The 17,818-nt window shown below is 54.1% G+C and overlaps 2 protein-coding genes across 7 annotated transcripts, besides 5 other annotated features; both read left to right on the forward strand.

Moving 5' to 3' along the window:
- On the forward strand, positions 8–17,271 carry LOC112694756 (uncharaterized LOC112694756). 3 transcript variants are annotated; one of them, NM_001365304.2, is made up of 14 exons: positions 8–74; positions 321–356; positions 1,641–1,784; positions 2,029–2,184; positions 10,586–11,105; positions 11,281–11,362; positions 14,091–14,223; positions 14,307–14,518; positions 15,503–15,557; positions 15,675–15,835; positions 16,163–16,246; positions 16,356–16,530; positions 16,687–16,886; positions 16,974–17,271. In NM_001365304.2, exons 2-5 carry the CDS (start codon positions 351–353, stop codon positions 10,697–10,699), a joined length of 420 nt encoding a protein of 139 aa, NP_001352233.1. In that variant the 5' UTR covers positions 8–74; positions 321–350; the 3' UTR covers positions 10,700–11,105; positions 11,281–11,362; positions 14,091–14,223; positions 14,307–14,518; positions 15,503–15,557; positions 15,675–15,835; positions 16,163–16,246; positions 16,356–16,530; positions 16,687–16,886; positions 16,974–17,271. The 3 variants fall into 3 exon arrangements, with proteins under 3 accessions (NP_001352233.1, NP_001352236.1, NP_001352234.1); NM_001365307.2 differs by having other exon boundaries at positions 8–356; NM_001365305.2 differs by lacking the exon at positions 1,641–1,784 and having other exon boundaries at positions 8–356.
- Positions 411–1,389: an enhancer, noted in NCBI's record as "H3K4me1 hESC enhancer chr16:30064875-30065853 (GRCh37/hg19 assembly coordinates)". NCBI's record gives its function as "activates a minimal SCP1, AML or CMV promoter by ChIP-STARR-seq in naive and primed H9 embryonic stem cells {active_cell/tissue: H9 hESC(naive and primed)}" and the evidence as "EXISTENCE:reporter gene assay evidence [ECO:0000049][PMID:30033119]".
- Positions 1,390–2,367: an enhancer, noted in NCBI's record as "H3K4me1 hESC enhancer chr16:30065854-30066831 (GRCh37/hg19 assembly coordinates)". NCBI's record gives its function as "activates a minimal SCP1, AML or CMV promoter by ChIP-STARR-seq in naive H9 embryonic stem cells {active_cell/tissue: H9 hESC(naive)}" and the evidence as "EXISTENCE:reporter gene assay evidence [ECO:0000049][PMID:30033119]".
- Positions 11,136–17,277, forward strand: ALDOA (aldolase, fructose-bisphosphate A). 4 transcript variants are annotated; one of them, NM_001243177.4, is made up of 10 exons: positions 12,617–12,784; positions 13,742–13,895; positions 14,091–14,223; positions 14,307–14,518; positions 15,503–15,557; positions 15,675–15,835; positions 16,163–16,246; positions 16,356–16,530; positions 16,687–16,886; positions 16,974–17,271. In NM_001243177.4, exons 2-10 carry the CDS (start codon positions 13,755–13,757, stop codon positions 17,067–17,069), a joined length of 1,257 nt encoding a protein of 418 aa, NP_001230106.1. In that variant the 5' UTR covers positions 12,617–12,784; positions 13,742–13,754; the 3' UTR covers positions 17,070–17,271. The 4 variants fall into 4 exon arrangements, with proteins under 4 accessions (NP_908932.1, NP_001121089.1, NP_001230106.1 ...); NM_184043.2 differs by lacking the exons at positions 12,617–12,784; positions 13,742–13,895 and adding an exon at positions 11,136–11,362 and having other exon boundaries at positions 16,974–17,277; NM_001127617.2 differs by lacking the exons at positions 12,617–12,784; positions 13,742–13,895 and adding an exon at positions 11,354–11,641 and having other exon boundaries at positions 16,974–17,277.
- Positions 11,668–12,448: an enhancer, noted in NCBI's record as "NANOG-H3K27ac-H3K4me1 hESC enhancer chr16:30076132-30076912 (GRCh37/hg19 assembly coordinates)". NCBI's record gives its function as "activates a minimal SCP1, AML or CMV promoter by ChIP-STARR-seq in primed H9 embryonic stem cells {active_cell/tissue: H9 hESC(primed)}" and the evidence as "EXISTENCE:reporter gene assay evidence [ECO:0000049][PMID:30033119]".
- Positions 12,445–12,714: a silencer, noted in NCBI's record as "silent region_7349". NCBI's record gives its function as "represses an Ori minimal core promoter by ATAC-STARR-seq in GM12878 lymphoblastoid cells {active_cell/tissue: GM12878}" and the evidence as "EXISTENCE:reporter gene assay evidence [ECO:0000049][PMID:35858748]".
- Positions 12,755–12,934: a silencer, noted in NCBI's record as "silent region_7350". NCBI's record gives its function as "represses an Ori minimal core promoter by ATAC-STARR-seq in GM12878 lymphoblastoid cells {active_cell/tissue: GM12878}" and the evidence as "EXISTENCE:reporter gene assay evidence [ECO:0000049][PMID:35858748]".

Here is a 17,818-nt window from a genome sequence, read left to right on the forward strand (position 1 = left end):
CGGGGCCGGTCCCTCGGACGATTGGACCTAGCTTGGCGCGGAATCCGTGAATTGCCCGCGGCCCGAGGGTGCAGGTGATGGGTGCTGACCGACTGGGGAAGCCCGGAGTGTGGGGACTGAGGAGGGGAGTGGCCTGGGGCGCGCTGGAGCCTGCGAGGAAGGCGCCGCCTCGGATCCCCCGCCCCCCATTCCCCTTCCCGAATTCCACCCTCCGGCCCAGCCATGGCCTCAGTTTCCCCAAACAGGAAAGGGAAGGAGGGTGGGCACCCCGGTCTAACGGTGCCTCTCAGCCTCTGAGACCCAGAACCTTCCTTCTGCAGCTCCCGGACTGACTGGCTCTGCCCTTCCCCATGGACGTAAGTCCGGGCCCCTTCCCCTCTCTGGGCCCCCTCAGCGCCCTCTCCTAACCCCGAATGGGCCTGTCTTCCAGCACGGACTGGGGAGGGGGCTTCTACCCAACAGAGACTACAACCTGCCAGCTCAGGACGAGAGCTGTCAGGAAGAGTCCAGGAATGGACTTCCCACGGGAGGGCACATTTCTGGTATTCCTGGCAAGATAAGGAGTTGACTAAGTAATCCACGAGAAAAGGCATTTCCGGCAGAGGAAACAGTCTGGGGGTGAGAGGGAGGCTGCAGCATTTGGGGAACTGCTAGGGCTATCGTGTGTTTGGAAGAGGGGGAGGGAGAGAGGTAGGCAGGGCTAAATTGGGAATTTTGTCACTGACATAAATTTTAAGTGCCAGGCGTGGTGGCTGTCGCCTGTAATTCCAGCTACTGAGGAGACTGAGGTGGGAGGATCGTTTAAGCCCAGGAGCTCGAGGCTGCAGCGAGCCATGATCATGCCGCTGCACTCCAGCCTGGGTGACAGAGTGAGACACTGTCTCTAAAAAAATTGACCAGGTGCGGTGGCTCATGCCTGGAATCCCAGCACTTTGGGAGGCCGAGGCGGGCGGATCACCTGAGATCAGGAGTTCAAGACCAGCCTGGCCAACATGGCAAAACCCCCTCTGTACTAAAAATACAAACATTAGCTGGGCGTCGTGGCGCGCACCTGTAATCCCAGCTACTAGGGAGGCTGAAGTAGGAGAATCGCTTGAACCCGGGTGGCAGAGGTTGCATGAACCAAGCTTGCCCCACTGCTCCAGCCTGGGTGACAGTGATACTCCGTCTCAATAAGAATAATAATAATAAAATAAATAATAGAAAAAGTTTTAAGTGAGTTACTGGGAGCCATTGACGGATTGTAAGGGAGGGAGGGATACTACACAAGGACATCTGGTGTGGAAAGGGGCAAAATTGCAGGTTGGATGACAGGAGCCGGTAATGTGGGCTGAGGGATGGTAAAGGAGTGGCAAGGGAGTCAGAGACAAGAGATCTCTTTGGAGAGGCATTCCAGAAGGAAAATCAGCCCTAGAAGACTCTAGAATGCTGAAGTGCTTGATGTTGCTGAACTGGGAATGATAGGGAAAAAGGCAGGCTCAGGGCACAAGATAATGAGTCAGGGTGTAGTCCTGTTGACGCTCTCCCCACCATCTGGTGGCCGTTCCTCTCCCAGCCACCTCCTCGTCCCTCATGGTATTCCCGTGTTCCTGCAGCCCCTCTCCATCTCCTTGTCACCCCTTCCTCCTGTACTCGTCCAGGCCTCCTCTAGCCCGTGGAATCCAACCCCGGCTCCTGTCAGCAGCCCTCCCCTGCTGCTCCCCATCCCTGCCATCGTCTTCATCGCTGTGGGCATCTATTTGTTGCTGCTGGGTCTAGTCCTGCTGACTAGGAACTGCCTGCTGGTGAGGGGTCTGGTCGGGGATAAAGGGTGGGCTCTGGGGAAGAGGAATCCCGGTAACCTGTCCCTTCATCTGCAGGCTCTTACCCTGAGACACTTGACATTTAGCCCTTGCATCTATCCGTTTTGTGGTACCAGGGGGTCCCTCCTCTCCTGTCCCCAGCCAAACCTTTTCCTTTCCCCTCGGGAAAGCTGCCTTGGCTGTCACTACCTGCTGCCTATTCCACATCCTGAACCCTGTGACCTAGGCCCAGGGCTGCTGCGCGGACGGTAGCTCCCCCTGCAGGAAGCAAGGTTCCTCCGGGCCCCCAGACTGCTGCTGGACCTGTGCAGAAGCCTGCAACTTTCCTCTGCCTAGCCCGGCCCACTTCCTGGATGCTTGCTGCCCCCAGCCCACCAGAGCTGTGAGTTCCATTCCTACCCCCTGCCCCACTGAGCCCTGATCTAGGTATGATCGGTGCATTCATTTTTTTGCTCAACAACATTTATTACTGAGCACCTTCTCAAGGCCAGGCACGGTTCCAGGGCATGAATCATGTGCAGCCAGGTAAAAACAACCTATCAGATAATGCCTGGTGATGAAAGCTACTTGAAGAAAATAAAATAGGGTGCCAGCTGGAGAAAGGTGATGTGGGTAACATGTAGAGTACATAGCCAGCACTTCTAAATGAAAGTGAGCTAAATGAAAGTTAGCTAAATGAAAAAACAGCTCACACAGCTCCTTTCCGTTCACCGAATGAACTGTGTTCTAGGTATAGGGCCTCTTTACGGACCTTTGTTTTTCCCAACAACCCTGAGAACTGAGAACTAAGTTGTTTTTTTTTCTTTCCTCCCTCCAGAGCTGGGTCCTCCCGTCTCCTCCCCTCCCCTCTTCTTTTCTTTTTGTTGTTGTTTGAGACAGGGTTTCACTCTCTCGCCCAGGCTGGAGTGCAGTGGTGCGATCTAGGCTCACTGCAACCTCCACCTCCCAGGCTCAAGTGATTCTCCTGCCTCAGCCTCCTGAATAGCTGGGATTATAGGCTCACACAACTACCATATGGCTAATTTTTATATTTTTAGTAAAGACGGGGTTTCATCATGTTGGCCAGGCTGGTCTCGAACTCCTGACCTCAAATGATCCACCCGCCTTGGCTGCCCAACGTGCTGGGATTACAGGCGTGAGCCACCATGGCCCAGCCATGGTTTTTTTTTTTTTTTTTTTTTTGAGACGGAGTCTCGCTCTGTTGCCTAGGCTAGAGTACAGTGGTGTAATCTCAGCTCACTGCAATGTCCACCTCCTGGGTTCAAGCAATTCTCCTGCCTCAGCCTCCTGAGTAGTAGGAATACAGGCGTGTGCCACCACGCCCAGCTAATTTTTGTATTTTTAGTAGAGACGGGGTTTCACCATGTTGGCCAGGCTGGTCTCGAACTCCTGACCTCAGGTGATCCAGAGCTGGGTATTTTTTAAAACCTATATGTTTTTTCTGATTACAAAAAGTATTATTTACAAAGTATACATATAGAAATACATGGAAAGTACCAATCACTTTACAAACCCGCTCTCTATCCCAAAGTTGCTGTGTTTTACATGTATCTCTCATATACTAATACAGTACTATCACTGCTGTATTTTACCATTATTTGGCAAAAATGGGGTGGTATCATGTAGGTTATTTCATCATACCTGCTACTGTCCCCCTATCCCCCGCCTTTTTTGAGACACGATCTTGCTCTGTCACCCAGGCTGGAGTCTGGTGGTGCAATCATAGCTCACTGCAGCCTCTACCTCCTGGACTGAAGCAATCCTCCCACCTCAGCCTCCTGAGTAGCTGAGACTATAGGTGCATGCCACCACACCCAGCTAATGTTTATATCTTTCACACAGATGGGGTTTCATGTTGTTGCCCAGGCTGGTGTTGAACTCCTGGGCTCAAGCGATCTGCCATCCTCAGCCTCCCAAAGTGCTGGGATTACAGGAGTGAGCCACCATGCCCAGCCTCTACTTGCCCTTTTTTTTTTTTTTTTTGAGACGAGTCTTGCTCTTGTCACCCAGGCTGGAGTGCAATGGTGCAATCTCGGCTCACCGCAATCTCTGCCTACTGGGTTCAAGCTATTCTCCTGCCTCAGCCTCCCAAGTAGCTGGGATTACAGGGATGCGCCACCACACTAGGCTAATTTTGTATTTTTAGTAGAGACAGGGTTTCTCCATGTTGGTCAGGGTGGTCTCGAACTCCCGACCTCAGGTTATCTGCCTGCCTCGGCCTCCTAAAGTGCTGGAATTACAGATGTGAGCCACCGGGCTCAGCCTCTACTTGCCCTTTTTAACCTGACATCACACTTCGCCACCTATCCATGCCTGTATGTGTAGACACATAAGGGTTACTGTCCTCCTCCTGAAGTGGGGAGTAAGCTGGCTTAGGGAAGTTTAGTGGCTTCTCCAGAGTGTTACGCAGGAGAGCCTTGCATCGCAAATAGCTCCACAGCGTTAGCTGAGGTAGAATCCTCAGGGGAGAAGCCTGGCTTGGAGAAGACAACCTGTTTCTATTTGTGGGTTTAAAGATGTTAAATGTAATCGACCACCGTCCTGAGGAATGATTATTTTGAGCTCAGCGATTCAGACAGCAAAGCCCCTGCCCTTGGAGTGGTGACATTCCTTCCCTAGGATGGAAGGGGAGGATAAAAGCAAATTCATAACTTGGGCATATGGTGATTGGTGCTAATCCCTGGCATGTTTTCAGTTTTGAAGTAAATTGTGGGGCAAGGAGCGCTTTTTCAGATAATCACCTTCTGGTTTGCCAGGGGCAGTCAGCAGAGGGGTCTCAGGTTTGGGGCTGAGGGGCAGAAGGGCAAAAGGAGGAGACCTTGGGTTCTGAAAACTCCTGTCTTGGCGTGGTGGCACTCGCCTGTAATCCCAGCTACTGGAAAGGCTGAGGCAGGAGAATAGCTTGAACCCAGTAGGCAGAGATTGCGGTGAGCTGAGATCATGCCACTGCACTCCAGCCTGGGTGACAGAGTGAGACTCTGTCTCAAAAAAAAAAAACCAAAGCAAAAAAACCTCTTGCCTTAGAGGAGATGCTCCATTAGAAAATGATTTCTGGCCCCCTGTCCTGGGGATGCCGCCCCCTACCCCTTCTGTCTATTTGAAGTGAATAGCCAGGGACTCATCACCTCCTTGGGAGAGAGGATGGGTGAGGTGCATTGTAAGGATAGACTGGGCCTTCCCACCTTCCCCACAGAGGGCTGCAAGAACTTTCAAACCTGGAGACATCAGGCCCTGATCCTCTCTGGTTTCTGCTGGAGCTAGGAAGGGATTTAACAGGGTGGAGGACAGGGCAGGTTCTTTCTGTCCTTGAGCTGTCTTTCCACAAAGTATATTTAAGTCCCTCCCTCTTCAGTTTCCTTGTAATAACAGCCCAGAAGGTTACAAATGTCTTGCCACTTGGCAGCTGTAGACACTGAGGCTTACGGAGGTTGGAGTGACTTGGAGGTTATATGGCTGGATCAGCTGGAATAGAAACCCAGGTTTCTCTTCCTTACTGAGGGAGAAACATGCCTGCTCGCCTGCTCTGCTTCTTTTTTTTTTCTTTTTTCTTTTTTTTTTGAGACGGAGTCTTGTTCTGTCACCCATGCTGGAGTGCAGTGGTGCAATCTTGGCTCACTTCAACCTCCGCCTCTCGGGTTCAAGCGATTCTCCTGCCTCAGCCTCCTGAGTAGCTGGGATTACAGGTGCCCGCCACCACACCTGGCTAATTTTTTGTATTTTTAGTAGAGATGGGGTTTCGTGTTAGCCAGGATGGTCTTGATCTCCTGACCTCGTGATCCGCCCGCCTTGGCCTCCCAAAGTGCTGGGATTACAGGCGTGAGCCACCACGCCTGGCCTGCTCTGCTTCTTTCATGTGCATGTTGCAAGGTTCTCATTCATTCATTCATTCATTCATTGACTCACTCACCAAAGATTTATGGAGTTACTGTTGAGGCACTGTCTAGGGCCTTGGGGACTCAGCAGAAACAAGATGGAGAAGGTCCCCAGCCTCGCAGGGCTTCCATTCTGGTGATGGAGAGAGAGAAATAACCAGGCCATTACAACAGAGGGTGAGAAATGACGTGCTATGGAGCAGCGGTTGCTCAGCCCTGCATGCGATCAGAAGCAGGTATAGGACTTAAAAGGAAAGCCAGGCATCTAGGCCCCACACTGAGGTCTGGGCTGGGGCTAGAGTTTGTGAATCTTTTACAAGTTCTCATATGATTCTGATGCACACAGGTTAAGAACCACTGCTGAGGGAAGAAGCTATGATAAGAATAGCTCTCTTTCAGGCCGGGTGCGGTGGCTCATGCCTGTAATCCCAGCACTTTGGGAGGCCAAGGCGGGCAGATCACAAGGTCAGGAGTTCGAGACCATCCTGGCTAACACGGTAAAACCCCGTCTCTACTAAAATACAAAAAAAATTAGCCGGGCGTGGTGGCGGGCGCCTGTAGTCCCAGCTACTCGGGAGGCTGAGGCAGGAGAATGCTGTAAAACCCGGGAGGCGGACCTTGCAGTGAGCCGAGATCGTGCCACTGCACTCCAGCCTGGGAGACAGAGCAAGATTCCGTCTCAAAAAATAATAATAATAATAATAATATCTCTCTTTCTTTTTTTTTTTTTTCCCAGGCAGGGTCTCTCTTGTCACCCAGGCTGGAGTGCAGTGCTCCCTCTGTTGCCCAGGCTGGAATGCGGTGGCGTAATCTCGGCTCACTGCAACCTCCGTCCCCCAGGTTCGAGTGATTCTCCTGCCTCAGACTCCCAAGTAGCTGAGATTACAGGCACCTGCCACCATGCCCGGCTAAAGTTTGTATTTTTAGTAGAGACAGGTTTTCACCATGTTGGCCAGGCTGGTCTTGAATTCCTGACCTCAGGTGATCCACCTGCCTTGGCCTCCCAAAGTGCTGCGATTACATACAGGCGTGAGTCGCCATGCCCGGCCAAGAACAGCTCTCTTTCGTCCAGCACTCATTACTTACCAGGCATCGTGCTTAGTTCCTTCCACCGATTCCCGACAATGGCCTTATGAACTAGGTCTTATATTTTTTCATTTTATTTTATTTTATTCTTTTGAGATGGAGTCTCACTCTGTTGCCCAGGCTAGAGTGCAGTAAAACAATCTCGGCTCACTGCAATCTCCATCTCCTGGGTTTAAGCAAGTCTCCCACCTCAGCCTCCCAAGTAGCTGGGACCACAGGCGTGCGCCACCATGCCCAGCTAATTTTCGTATTTTTAATAGAGATGATGTTTCACCATGTTGGCCAGGCTAGTCTTGAACTCCTGATCTCAGATGGTGCGCCCACCTTGGCCTCCCAAAGTGCTGGGATTACAGGTGTGAGCCACCACACCTGGCCTTAGGTGTTATATTCCTATAAATGAGGAAACTGAGGCTGAAAAAATGAATTAGCCAAGCTGAGGTTCAAACCCAGGCCTTACTGACTCTAGGGCCTGAGCTTTAACCATCTATACGATGATGGCTGGCTCTCACAGAGACAACAGGAAAAATTCAAGTGAAAAACTCTCCTGAGAGCCAGGAGAGACACAAGGGTTAACAGTCTTGCGGAGTCCTTGTTTAATGTACTTAAACAGCAGATTCCTTCCAGAAGCCACATGGCTGCTTGTAACGGTTGAGAAATCCATTAGCCAGTTATTAATGACAAGATCTAAACCCTTCCAAGGGAGAGAGCCAAGAAATGCTTTTAATACCCTCTTTTCTGAGGTAATGGCAGCAGAGCCTCTCTCAGCCATGGGTTCTGTGCACAGAATGATGGTGTGGTCCTTCAAAAGCCCGCAGAAGTGATTTCATCCCCAGACTGAGACTCCCTAGAGACACCCCAAATCACACCCTCATCAAACACAAGAAAATCACTTCTCTCTCCCCCTTCCACCATGACGGTTCTAGCCTCCCCCAAGGAGGCAGTTCTGTTGACAGTAGCACAGCCCAATTCAGACCCCTGTCCCTGCAGGTGGCAGGTCCCCTCCCCTCACTGCAGCCCCTAGTGATATCTGATCTCACCAGCCATCTGACACCACACCCTGAAACCTCAGCTGTTGGAAAGGTCATTCCCCTATTCCTGGCTTGGCCAAGTTTCTGATTGAACTGTACAACTGTGACTGTCACTACCTCTGCCTCTGGCCTCAAGGAGCCAATCTTCTGTCACACAGCCATCCTGGGCCACTTCAGCCATTTGGCCTGACTCCAGCCCATGCCTAAGGCAGTTGCGGGTCATCCCTGTCCCAGGGGAGGACAGCAGTGCACTGGATAGACCAGTTCTCCCTTCTTGTCTCTAAGGACACGCTGCTCCTATTCCCCAAAGAGACAGACATTGTTTCCTCCAGGAGCTGAGAAGCCCTCTTCTTTCTTCTTTGCCTAAAGAAGGCAAATGATATGCTTAGATTCATCCATTCATTCAGCATTCATTTATATCTCAGACACCTGCTGAGCATGAGTCCAGTGCTAGCTCAGTGGAGAATATGGGATGAGCTGCCCCTGCCCTGGCAGACCCAGAGAGAGGCTGATGCTCCTGGCACTGGGAGGCAGAGGGCTCAAGAGGGATTGCAGGCAGGACTGTACATCCCAGCTCCATTCCCATCACTTGCCTCTCTGTCTATGCCTCCATTTCCTTTTTTTTTTTTTTTTTTTTTTTTTTTTTGAGGCAGAGTCTTGTTCTGTTGCCCAGGCTGGAGTGCAGTGGGTCGATCTCGGCTTACTGCAACCTCTGCCTCCCAGGCTCAAGCGATTCTCCTGCTTCAGGCTTCTGAGTAGCTAGGATTACAGGTGCACCCCACCACGCCCAGCTAATTTTTGTGTTTTTAGTAGAGAAGAGGTTTCGCCATGTTGGCCCAGCTGGTCCTGAATTCCTGACCTTAAGTGATCCGCCCACCTTGGCCTCCCAAGTTGTTGGGATTACAGGCATGAGCCACCATGTCTAACCATCCATTTTCTCTTTTGTAAAGAAGCCCATTACTCAGGATTCTGGTAATTAAAAAATATAAGGCTGGGCGCGGTGGCTCACACCTGTAATCCCAGCACTTTGGGAGGCCGAGGTGGGCGGATCACCTGAGGTCAGGAGTTCGAGACCAGCCTGACTAACATGGTGAAACCCTGTCTCTACTAAAAATACAAAAATTAGCTGGGTGTAGTGGCGGGCGCCTGTAATCCCAGCTACTCAGGAGGCTGAGACAGGAGAATCACTTGAACCCGGGAGGCAGAGGTTGCCCCAAGCTGAGATCCCACCATTGCACTCCAGCCTGGGTGACAGAGCAAGACTCCGTTTGAAAAAACAAACAAACAAATAGATCTAATTCTTTTGAAAACATTAAAATTGATTGGGCGCAGTGGCGCATGCCTGTAATCCCAGCACTTTGGGAGACCAAGGTGGGTTTAGCCCAGGAGTTTGAGACTAGCCTGGGCAACATGATGAAACCCTGTCTCTACAAAAAAATACAAAAAATGAATTAGCCAGGCGTGGTGGCACGTGCCTGTAATCCCAGCTACTTGGGAGGCTGAGGCAGGAGAATCGCTTGAACCCAGGAGGCGGAGGTTGCAGTGAGCCGAGACCGCGCCATGGCACTCCAGCCTGGCAACAGAGCGAGACTCCGTCTCAAAAAAAAAAAAAAAAAAGTACAAAAAATGAGCCGAGCACGGTGGTTCATGCCTGTAATCCCAGCACTTTGGGAGGCCAAGGCGGGCAGATACCTGAGGTCAGGAATTCAAGACCAGCCTGGTCAACATAGCGAAACCCTGTCTCTACTAAAAATACAAAATTAGCCAAGTGTGGTGGCACATGCCTGTAATCCCACCTACTTGGGAGGCTGAGGCAGGAGAACCGCTTGAATCCAGAGGTGGAAGTTGCAGTGAGTGGAGATCACGCCATTGTGCTCCAGCCTGGGCAACAGGAGTGAAACTCCATCTCGGAAAAAAAAAAAAAAAAATGGCCGGGCACAGTTGCTCACTCCTTTAATCTTAGCACTTTGGGAGGCTGAGGCAGGTGGATCATCTGAGGCCAGGAGTTCCGAGACCAGCCTGACCAACATGGTGAAACCCCCATCTCTACTACAAATACAAAAATTAGCTGGGTGTGGTGGCTCACGCCTGTAGTTCAGCTACTCAGAAGGCTGAGGCAGAACTACTTGAACCCAGGAGGTGGAGGTTGCAGTGAGCCAAGATCGCACCATTGCACTCCACCCTGGGCAACAGAGTGAGACCCTGTCTCAAAAAAAAAAAAAAAATTAAAAATAGGTAAATTGCCATTTTCAAAGATACCTGTAAAGATTTTTAAAATCATTCATGAATGCGGTCTGTTCGTTGCACAGAGTAGATGCTCAAAAATGGTGAATGAGACCCTCTATTTTGGTCTCATGCTGAAGAAGTCCATAAAGCCCACAAGTCATTTTCATGATGGACAGAAAAATGTGTGTGCTTTCTCTGTCTACTGCCTCAACTGCACAGACCCCGGGACTGTAGCAGAACCATCTTTTGAGCTTGACACCGGGAGGCCCAAATTCTAGCACGGGACCCAGGGCCAGTTGCTCTCTGGTCCTCAGTCTCCTCACCCATAAAATGGGAAGGAGAGAACCCTGAATCATTGCTTCTAGCTTCTGAACTCAGTTGTTCAGAACAAGGACTCACTGCTGATTTTTCAACAGCACAGGGAATTGCACTGTTCCTGGGAATGATGGACAGTACCCTCTGTTCCACTGGGCAAGTGAGATTTCCCAGGCCTCTCTGTTCCCTTCTCCCCTTAGAGAGCAACAGACGTGGCCCCATCCCACCTCCCTCAACCCTCTCTCTCCTCCCTCAGGACTGGGCACCTCGCTGCCCCCGCTGCTGCCCACTCTGCGACTGTGCCTGTACGTGCCAGCTCCCCGACTGCCAGAGCCTCAACTGTCTCTGCTTCGAGATCAAGCTCCGATGAGGACCCAGGGCCCCTGCCCTCTGGGGAGCGGCCAGCCCCCAGGGCCCATGTGCCCTCCTCCCTGAAGAGCCTTTCCCCACGCCACTGGAACCACAGATGGCCTGCCGAGCACCCAGGCCTGGGAACTGGAAGTGGCAGCGCAGGGCCTGGCTCCCTGCAGGGCAGGACTCTTGGCCGGCTGGACGGCAGCTCCTCTGGAGGGCCAGAAAAGAGAGGGGCTAGTGCTCGGGCAGGTGCCCTGGCTTCCCTTCCCCTCCACACGTCAACGATTCTATTTGAAGTTGGGCAGGGGGGTGGCGCTGCTCACCACACACAAGTGTTATAGGAGGAGTCTGGCCCTTGAGTACCGGGTACGCAGGGGTGCCTCAACCACACTCCGTCCACGGACTCTCCGTTATTTTAGGAGGTGAGTGTAGTGCCAGTATCTACTCTCCTTCTTAAAAAAAACCAGGGCTCCAGAGAATCAGAACAGCCACCATCACCGCAGGGAGTCAAGGGAGGAGGGAGATTAGAGAAGGAGCCAGGGAGGGTGGCAGGGAGGCCACGTGATCCGAGTCCCCTCACCCCTTTCCTTCCCACAGGTCCCTGGCCAAAGATTTATTTCTCTTGACAACCAAGGGCCTCCGTCTGGATTTCCAAGGAAGAATTTCCTCTGAAGCACCGGTGAGTGGGCAGGGGCTCCCTCCCCATCAATAGGGCCGACCCAAGTCTTCCTCCCCCTTCCCCCATGCCGGGCCCCACGATAGTGTGAATGTCAGGGGCTTCAGGTTTCCCTAAATATAGGTCCCTGCCAGAGGATCCGTGGCGGGAAAAGGGCAGGGGTCATTAGAGAAGATCGGGGACACATGTGGGGCGGGCAGGAGCTGCCTTATAACCAGCCCGGGAACCCCTAGCTCACTCGCTGCTGACCAGGCTCTGCCGGCTCCTTCGGCCTCGCCGCAGGTGGGCCCCTTGCAGGACCGGGCCGGGGTGGGGATGGGGTTGGGGTTGGGCCAACAGGGTCCAGATGGGGTCCAGGTGAGGAGGGGAGATTTGGACGATAGGAGCAGGGGGCTCAGCATCTGGGAGGCAGATCAGTTCGGGGACGGATTTTCTTTTGGAGAAGGAAGTCAGGCTCAAGGAAGACGTTTGGCAGGAACTGTGACCCCGCATGCCAGAGGCCGAGCAGCGGCCGGTGCATAGCCGCGCATTCTGGTTTTCTGTGGCGCAGAGGACTACCAGCCTGGCTGCGGCGGCCCGGCGGAGAGCGCGCACGCATGCGCGACCCAGCCCGGCCTGCCAGCCTGGAACTCGGATGGGGAGGTCTCGCCTCCGCGCGCCGCTAGTTCCGCCGCCTTCTCGCGCTCCCTGCGTGTCCTCTCGATGCCCTTTCCTCCGCCTCCCTTACGCCTGGGCCAGTGACAGGGTGTCGGCTCCGCGCCGATTCAGCCCGCGGGCGAGGCAGGCTAACGCACGACTGCGCGATGTGGCCCCTATGGTGACACGCGCTGCAGCCGCGAAGACCGGAAGCTGGGGCGGCCCCGGGCCGCGCGCGCTGGGCCTGGGAGGCGAAACTCAGCTTCCTTCGTTTCCGACTTTTCCATCCGCGTCCTCCACTTCCCCGTTCCGCCCTCCCCCATTGCCAACATTCTGGCTGAGTCACGGCGCCCCAGAGCGCGCCAGGCTGGGGGAAAGGAGCAGAAGGGAGGGCCCTAGCGACCCGCGGGATGTGGTCCGAGTCACGTCCGAGGGGGGTGGGGAGGGATCGTGTTCTCGGCGCCCGCCCCTTCCTAGCGCGGCCTCTGGGCTGCGCCTCTCGGGGGCGGCCCGTAGCCCAGTCCGTCGCCTGCCATTGGACGCCGCCCGCTCCTCGTAAAGGAAAAAGCTCGGCGGAGGGCGGAGTGGTGCCTTTAAAAGGCCGGGCGCCGCCTTCCGCCTGCCCGCCTCCTGCGCCGCCCCTTCCGAGGCTAAATCGGCTGCGTTCCTCTCGGAACGCGCCGCAGAAGGGGTCCTGGTGACGAGTCCCGCGTTCTCTCCTTGAATCCACTCGCCAGCCCGCCGCCCTCTGCCGCCGCACCCTGCACACCCGCCCCTCTCCTGTGCCAGGTGAGCGCCCCTCTTCACGTGCGGGGACCAGGGACCGTGGAGAGGGATCTTGGGGGCAGTGGCGGGTTGGGCGTCCGCGTGGAGGCCTCCCCCATCCCATGCCAGCGTCTCCCCACTACCAGGCACACACAGGCTCCCCGGCCCCTCCAGCCTGAGGTCCTCTAACTGCGCAATGCAGCGGCTGCGCGCGCTGAGTCATGGCGGGGGAGGAAGCCGGACGAGATGAAGGACCATTCTCCCCCTTTTCTTGCAGGGACCCCTGTGGCAAAGGATTAGGGCCCCTTAGCCCTGGCGGGGATCCTAAGAGGCAGTGAGGGGTGGGGGCCGGCCCATGTACAGCCCCAGGGTTCTCGCAAGTGGGAGCTTGGTTTCTGTCCTGGGAAACGGGGCGCCCTTCGCGAGGAGGGAAACCCCTCCGCGGTGCTTGATGCCCCCTTAACACTTTCCCTGTCTCTCCTTATCGGGCGACCTTGATTCTGAGCCCGGAACAGCTGCAGCCATGCGAAGCGACGGGAGCATTTTTCAGGGGAAGGCGCTTGCTCCTCCACGTTCTTGCCCCGTAGGAACAGTGACGATGGCAAAGCTTACCGCTTTCCTCGCCTCGGGCTAGGGCTTGTTCCGCCGCCCTTTCCTGGGCTTCTCCTTGCTCTCTTATATTTTTCCTAATGCCCCTTTCCTACCACCCGCCCCCTCCCTTGTGGGGAAAAGCCTGACCTTGGGATGTCCTTGAAGCCTTGGAGCCCGGGCCAGCCCTGGGATCTTGAGGGGATTGGAAGGAACACCCCAGTGGCAGTCAGAAGAGCTGGGTTCTAATCTCAGATCTGGCTCCGGGGTTGCTGTGTGGCTTGAAGCACAGACCTTTCCCATATCTGGGCCCTTTCCCACGAGGGTGTTGGGCCCTCTGCTTGATTCACGATCTTTACATTCTAAAATACTCCGGTTCGGTTTTGTTTTCAGGCAAGGTGACCCCATGGCAAGGCGCAAGCCAGAAGGGTCCAGCTTCAACATGACCCACCTGTCCATGGCTATGGCCTTTTCCTTTCCCCCAGTTGCCAGTGGGCAACTCCACCCTCAGCTGGGCAACACCCAGCACCAGACAGAGTTAGGAAAGGTACAGGGGCAGGCCTAGCAAAGGGAAGTTGGGCGTAAGAGAGAGCTGGGGACCAGAAGTGCCCCAGGGCCTGCTGGGTGTGGGGCAGGGGAGGTAGGGAACATTTCCCTGACCTCCAGGAGAGGGGCCCTGGTCATCGGGAGATGATGGGAAACCCTAGCTAACTAGTCCTTCCCCTCTGTTTCCTGTATCCAGGAACTTGCTACTACCAGCACCATGCCCTACCAATATCCAGCACTGACCCCGGAGCAGAAGAAGGAGCTGTCTGACATCGCTCACCGCATCGTGGCACCTGGCAAGGGCATCCTGGCTGCAGATGAGTCCACTGGTGCGGGCAGGAGACAGAATGGGTGGAGGGTGCAGGGTTGGGAGTGGCAGGCTGATCCCCTAATTCCCATGTGACACTCCCAGGGAGCATTGCCAAGCGGCTGCAGTCCATTGGCACCGAGAACACCGAGGAGAACCGGCGCTTCTACCGCCAGCTGCTGCTGACAGCTGACGACCGCGTGAACCCCTGCATTGGGGGTGTCATCCTCTTCCATGAGACACTCTACCAGAAGGCGGATGATGGGCGTCCCTTCCCCCAAGTTATCAAATCCAAGGGCGGTGTTGTGGGCATCAAGGTAAGGGGAGGGCCTCCGGACGTGAGGTTTGAGATGGAAGTGGAGGAAGGAAATCCAGGTTAGTGAGGCAGGGAATGAATGCTGGATTGGTGGCCTAGAGACTTGCATGGAGCCTGCTTCAGGCTTAGGGCATTTACTCGACATTTTTAATCCTCACAATTCTGAGAGAACAGTATCATTCCCACTTTACACATGAAAATCTCAGAAGCTCAGGGAAGTGAAGTGTTTTGCTCAGAGTAAGTGGCAGAGCCCCAGTCTGACACCCAATTCACTCAACATTTCTGTTGTCAAATAACATCCCAGTGTATCCTGTCTCAGAGGATTGTTACTAAGTGAACTAAGTGAAAATATTTTAATTTAATTGTAACTAAGTATTTGAGTAACTAAACATTTTAAGTAAATTTTTTTTTTTTTTTTTTTTGAGATGGAGTCTCGCTGTCTCCCAGGCTGGAGTGCAGTGGTGCGATCTCTTGGCTCACTGCAAGTTCCGCCTCCCAGGTTCACGCCATTCTCCTGCCTCAGCCTCCCGAGTAGCTGGGACTACAGGCGCCCGCCACCACCCGGCTAATTTTTTTTGTATTTTTAGTAGACACTGGGTTTCACCATGTTAGCCAGGATGGTCTCGATCTCCTGATCTCGTGATCTGCCCACCTCGGCCTCCCAAAGTGCTGGGATTACAGGCGTGAGCCACCATGCCCGGCTTAAGTAACTAAATATTTTAATTGTAACTAAGTGAAAATATTTGCCAGCCCTGAGATGCAGTTTAAGGGATTAAGTAAATGTGGGGGAAGACTGGGGCTAAAGAAGAGGAAAGAGGGGCACGCCCAGCTACCTAGGAGGCTGAGGCGGGAGGATCACTTGAGTCCAGGAAGTGGAGGCTTCAGTGAGCTGAGATTCCACCACTGTACTCCAGCCGGGGCGACAGTGGAAAGGGTGCTAGAGGTCATTTCCTGTGTCTTAATGTTGTTACCCTGACCCCAACAGGTAGACAAGGGCGTGGTCCCCCTGGCAGGGACAAATGGCGAGACTACCACCCAAGGTGAGAACTGTTTGATTCTCTGCCCTACGAACCCAACCAGAGCAGGTTTGGGTGCTGGGAGGAGTGGAAACCACATGCCCCTCCCCACCGTGCTCTGACCCCTTCCTCTTCTCTTAGGGTTGGATGGGCTGTCTGAGCGCTGTGCCCAGTACAAGAAGGACGGAGCTGACTTCGCCAAGTGGCGTTGTGTGCTGAAGATTGGGGAACACACCCCCTCAGCCCTCGCCATCATGGAAAATGCCAATGTTCTGGCCCGTTATGCCAGTATCTGCCAGCAGGTGGGCCTGCAGGTCCTCAATAGGCAACCTCCTACCTCATTTGGTTCCAGTGTTGTTAATTTGCCTATTACCTGCCATGATGCCTACCTCCCCAAAAGCAAGCATTAGCTTTGGCCCGTGGAGGACACTCAAGGGCTGTTGAAGGCAGAGGGGCCAAGGAGGGATGGTGGGTGGATCTGAGGCGGCTCTTGTCTCCTGTAATCTGAGGGCTTTGAAGCCTGAGTCCCTGGCATCATCAAGATACGGTCTTGACCAGTGGCTGTGGAGAGATGTAGGTGGGACTCTGGGTTAGGAGGCCTCACAGTGACCCTGTCCCTCGCCCTGCAGAATGGCATTGTGCCCATCGTGGAGCCTGAGATCCTCCCTGATGGGGACCATGACTTGAAGCGCTGCCAGTATGTGACCGAGAAGGTAAATGGCTACCTGCCTGACCAGTGCAAGGTGGCTGGCCGGGGACCCTGGGGCTAACCCCTATCCTCTCCTCCACCCCACTACCCACCGTGCGCCTGCTCTGCTCCAGGTGCTGGCTGCTGTCTACAAGGCTCTGAGTGACCACCACATCTACCTGGAAGGCACCTTGCTGAAGCCCAACATGGTCACCCCAGGCCATGCTTGCACTCAGAAGTTTTCTCATGAGGAGATTGCCATGGCGACCGTCACAGCGCTGCGCCGCACAGTGCCCCCCGCTGTCACTGGTGAGGCCCACACTCATCTTGATCTCTATGCAGTAGATAAGCTCCACCCACAACCCTATGCCCATTTGGACGGATTTCCATGGCAACTTCCACCAGCTCCTGCCAGCTTCCTGGGTCTCTGACCACAGCCCCTCTCGCCTCACCCCTGCTCTACAGGGATCACCTTCCTGTCTGGAGGCCAGAGTGAGGAGGAGGCGTCCATCAACCTCAATGCCATTAACAAGTGCCCCCTGCTGAAGCCCTGGGCCCTGACCTTCTCCTACGGCCGAGCCCTGCAGGCCTCTGCCCTGAAGGCCTGGGGCGGGAAGAAGGAGAACCTGAAGGCTGCGCAGGAGGAGTATGTCAAGCGAGCCCTGGTAAGGATAGGCAGGAGGTGGGCAGGGTGCCTGGGTGGATGGGACTCGGAGAAGAGCCCTTCTCACTCCACCCCTCTCCCTGCTTAGGCCAACAGCCTTGCCTGTCAAGGAAAGTACACTCCGAGCGGTCAGGCTGGGGCTGCTGCCAGCGAGTCCCTCTTCGTCTCTAACCACGCCTATTAAGCGGAGGTGTTCCCAGGCTGCCCCCAACACTCCAGGCCCTGCCCCCTCCCACTCTTGAAGAGGAGGCCGCCTCCTCGGGGCTCCAGGCTGGCTTGCCCGCGCTCTTTCTTCCCTCGTGACAGTGGTGTGTGGTGTCGTCTGTGAATGCTAAGTCCATCACCCTTTCCGGCACACTGCCAAATAAACAGCTATTTAAGGGGGAGTCGGCCGTCCGTGTCTTGTGGTGTCTAATGCAGGGGAGGGCCTGGGGAGGTAGCAGAGCCCAGAAGAAGAAAGAGCCCCTGTTCTCTGTTTTTTCTGGGCAGAAAAGGAGTGAAAGGTGGAAGGACCTTCCTGCTCTGTTTTATACTTGGCCAGGGCTTCAAGAAAGGCTGAGAGCTTGTGACATTTTCTTCCAGCCACTGCAGGCTCTGCCCCTTCACCTAACAGCATAAGATAGGGCTAACAGTTGGGGAGTATGGTTGTAACTGCTCATGTCTTAGGAGGCTTCAGCCTCAGCACTTTTAGGTCCAGAACTCAAGGGGGGCAGAAGACCCCTGTGACAAAAACCCACTAACTAGCTCATGAGTGACATGAGCCAGGCAACATAATGGGTGTTTTATATGAGTAGATGCTGTTATTTTTAATTTATACCTAAGGCTCTTTTGCCCAAGATTGAACTGTTTCTTGGTGGAAAGGATTATCAATGCATATCTCTTTTTTTTTTTTTTTTGAGACAATCTCACTCTGTCACCCAGACTGGAGTACAG

The sequence above is a fragment of the Homo sapiens genome, chromosome 16 (genome assembly GCF_000001405.40).
Source record: "Homo sapiens chromosome 16, GRCh38.p14 Primary Assembly".
Taxonomy (NCBI): Eukaryota; Metazoa; Chordata; class Mammalia; order Primates; family Hominidae; genus Homo; species Homo sapiens.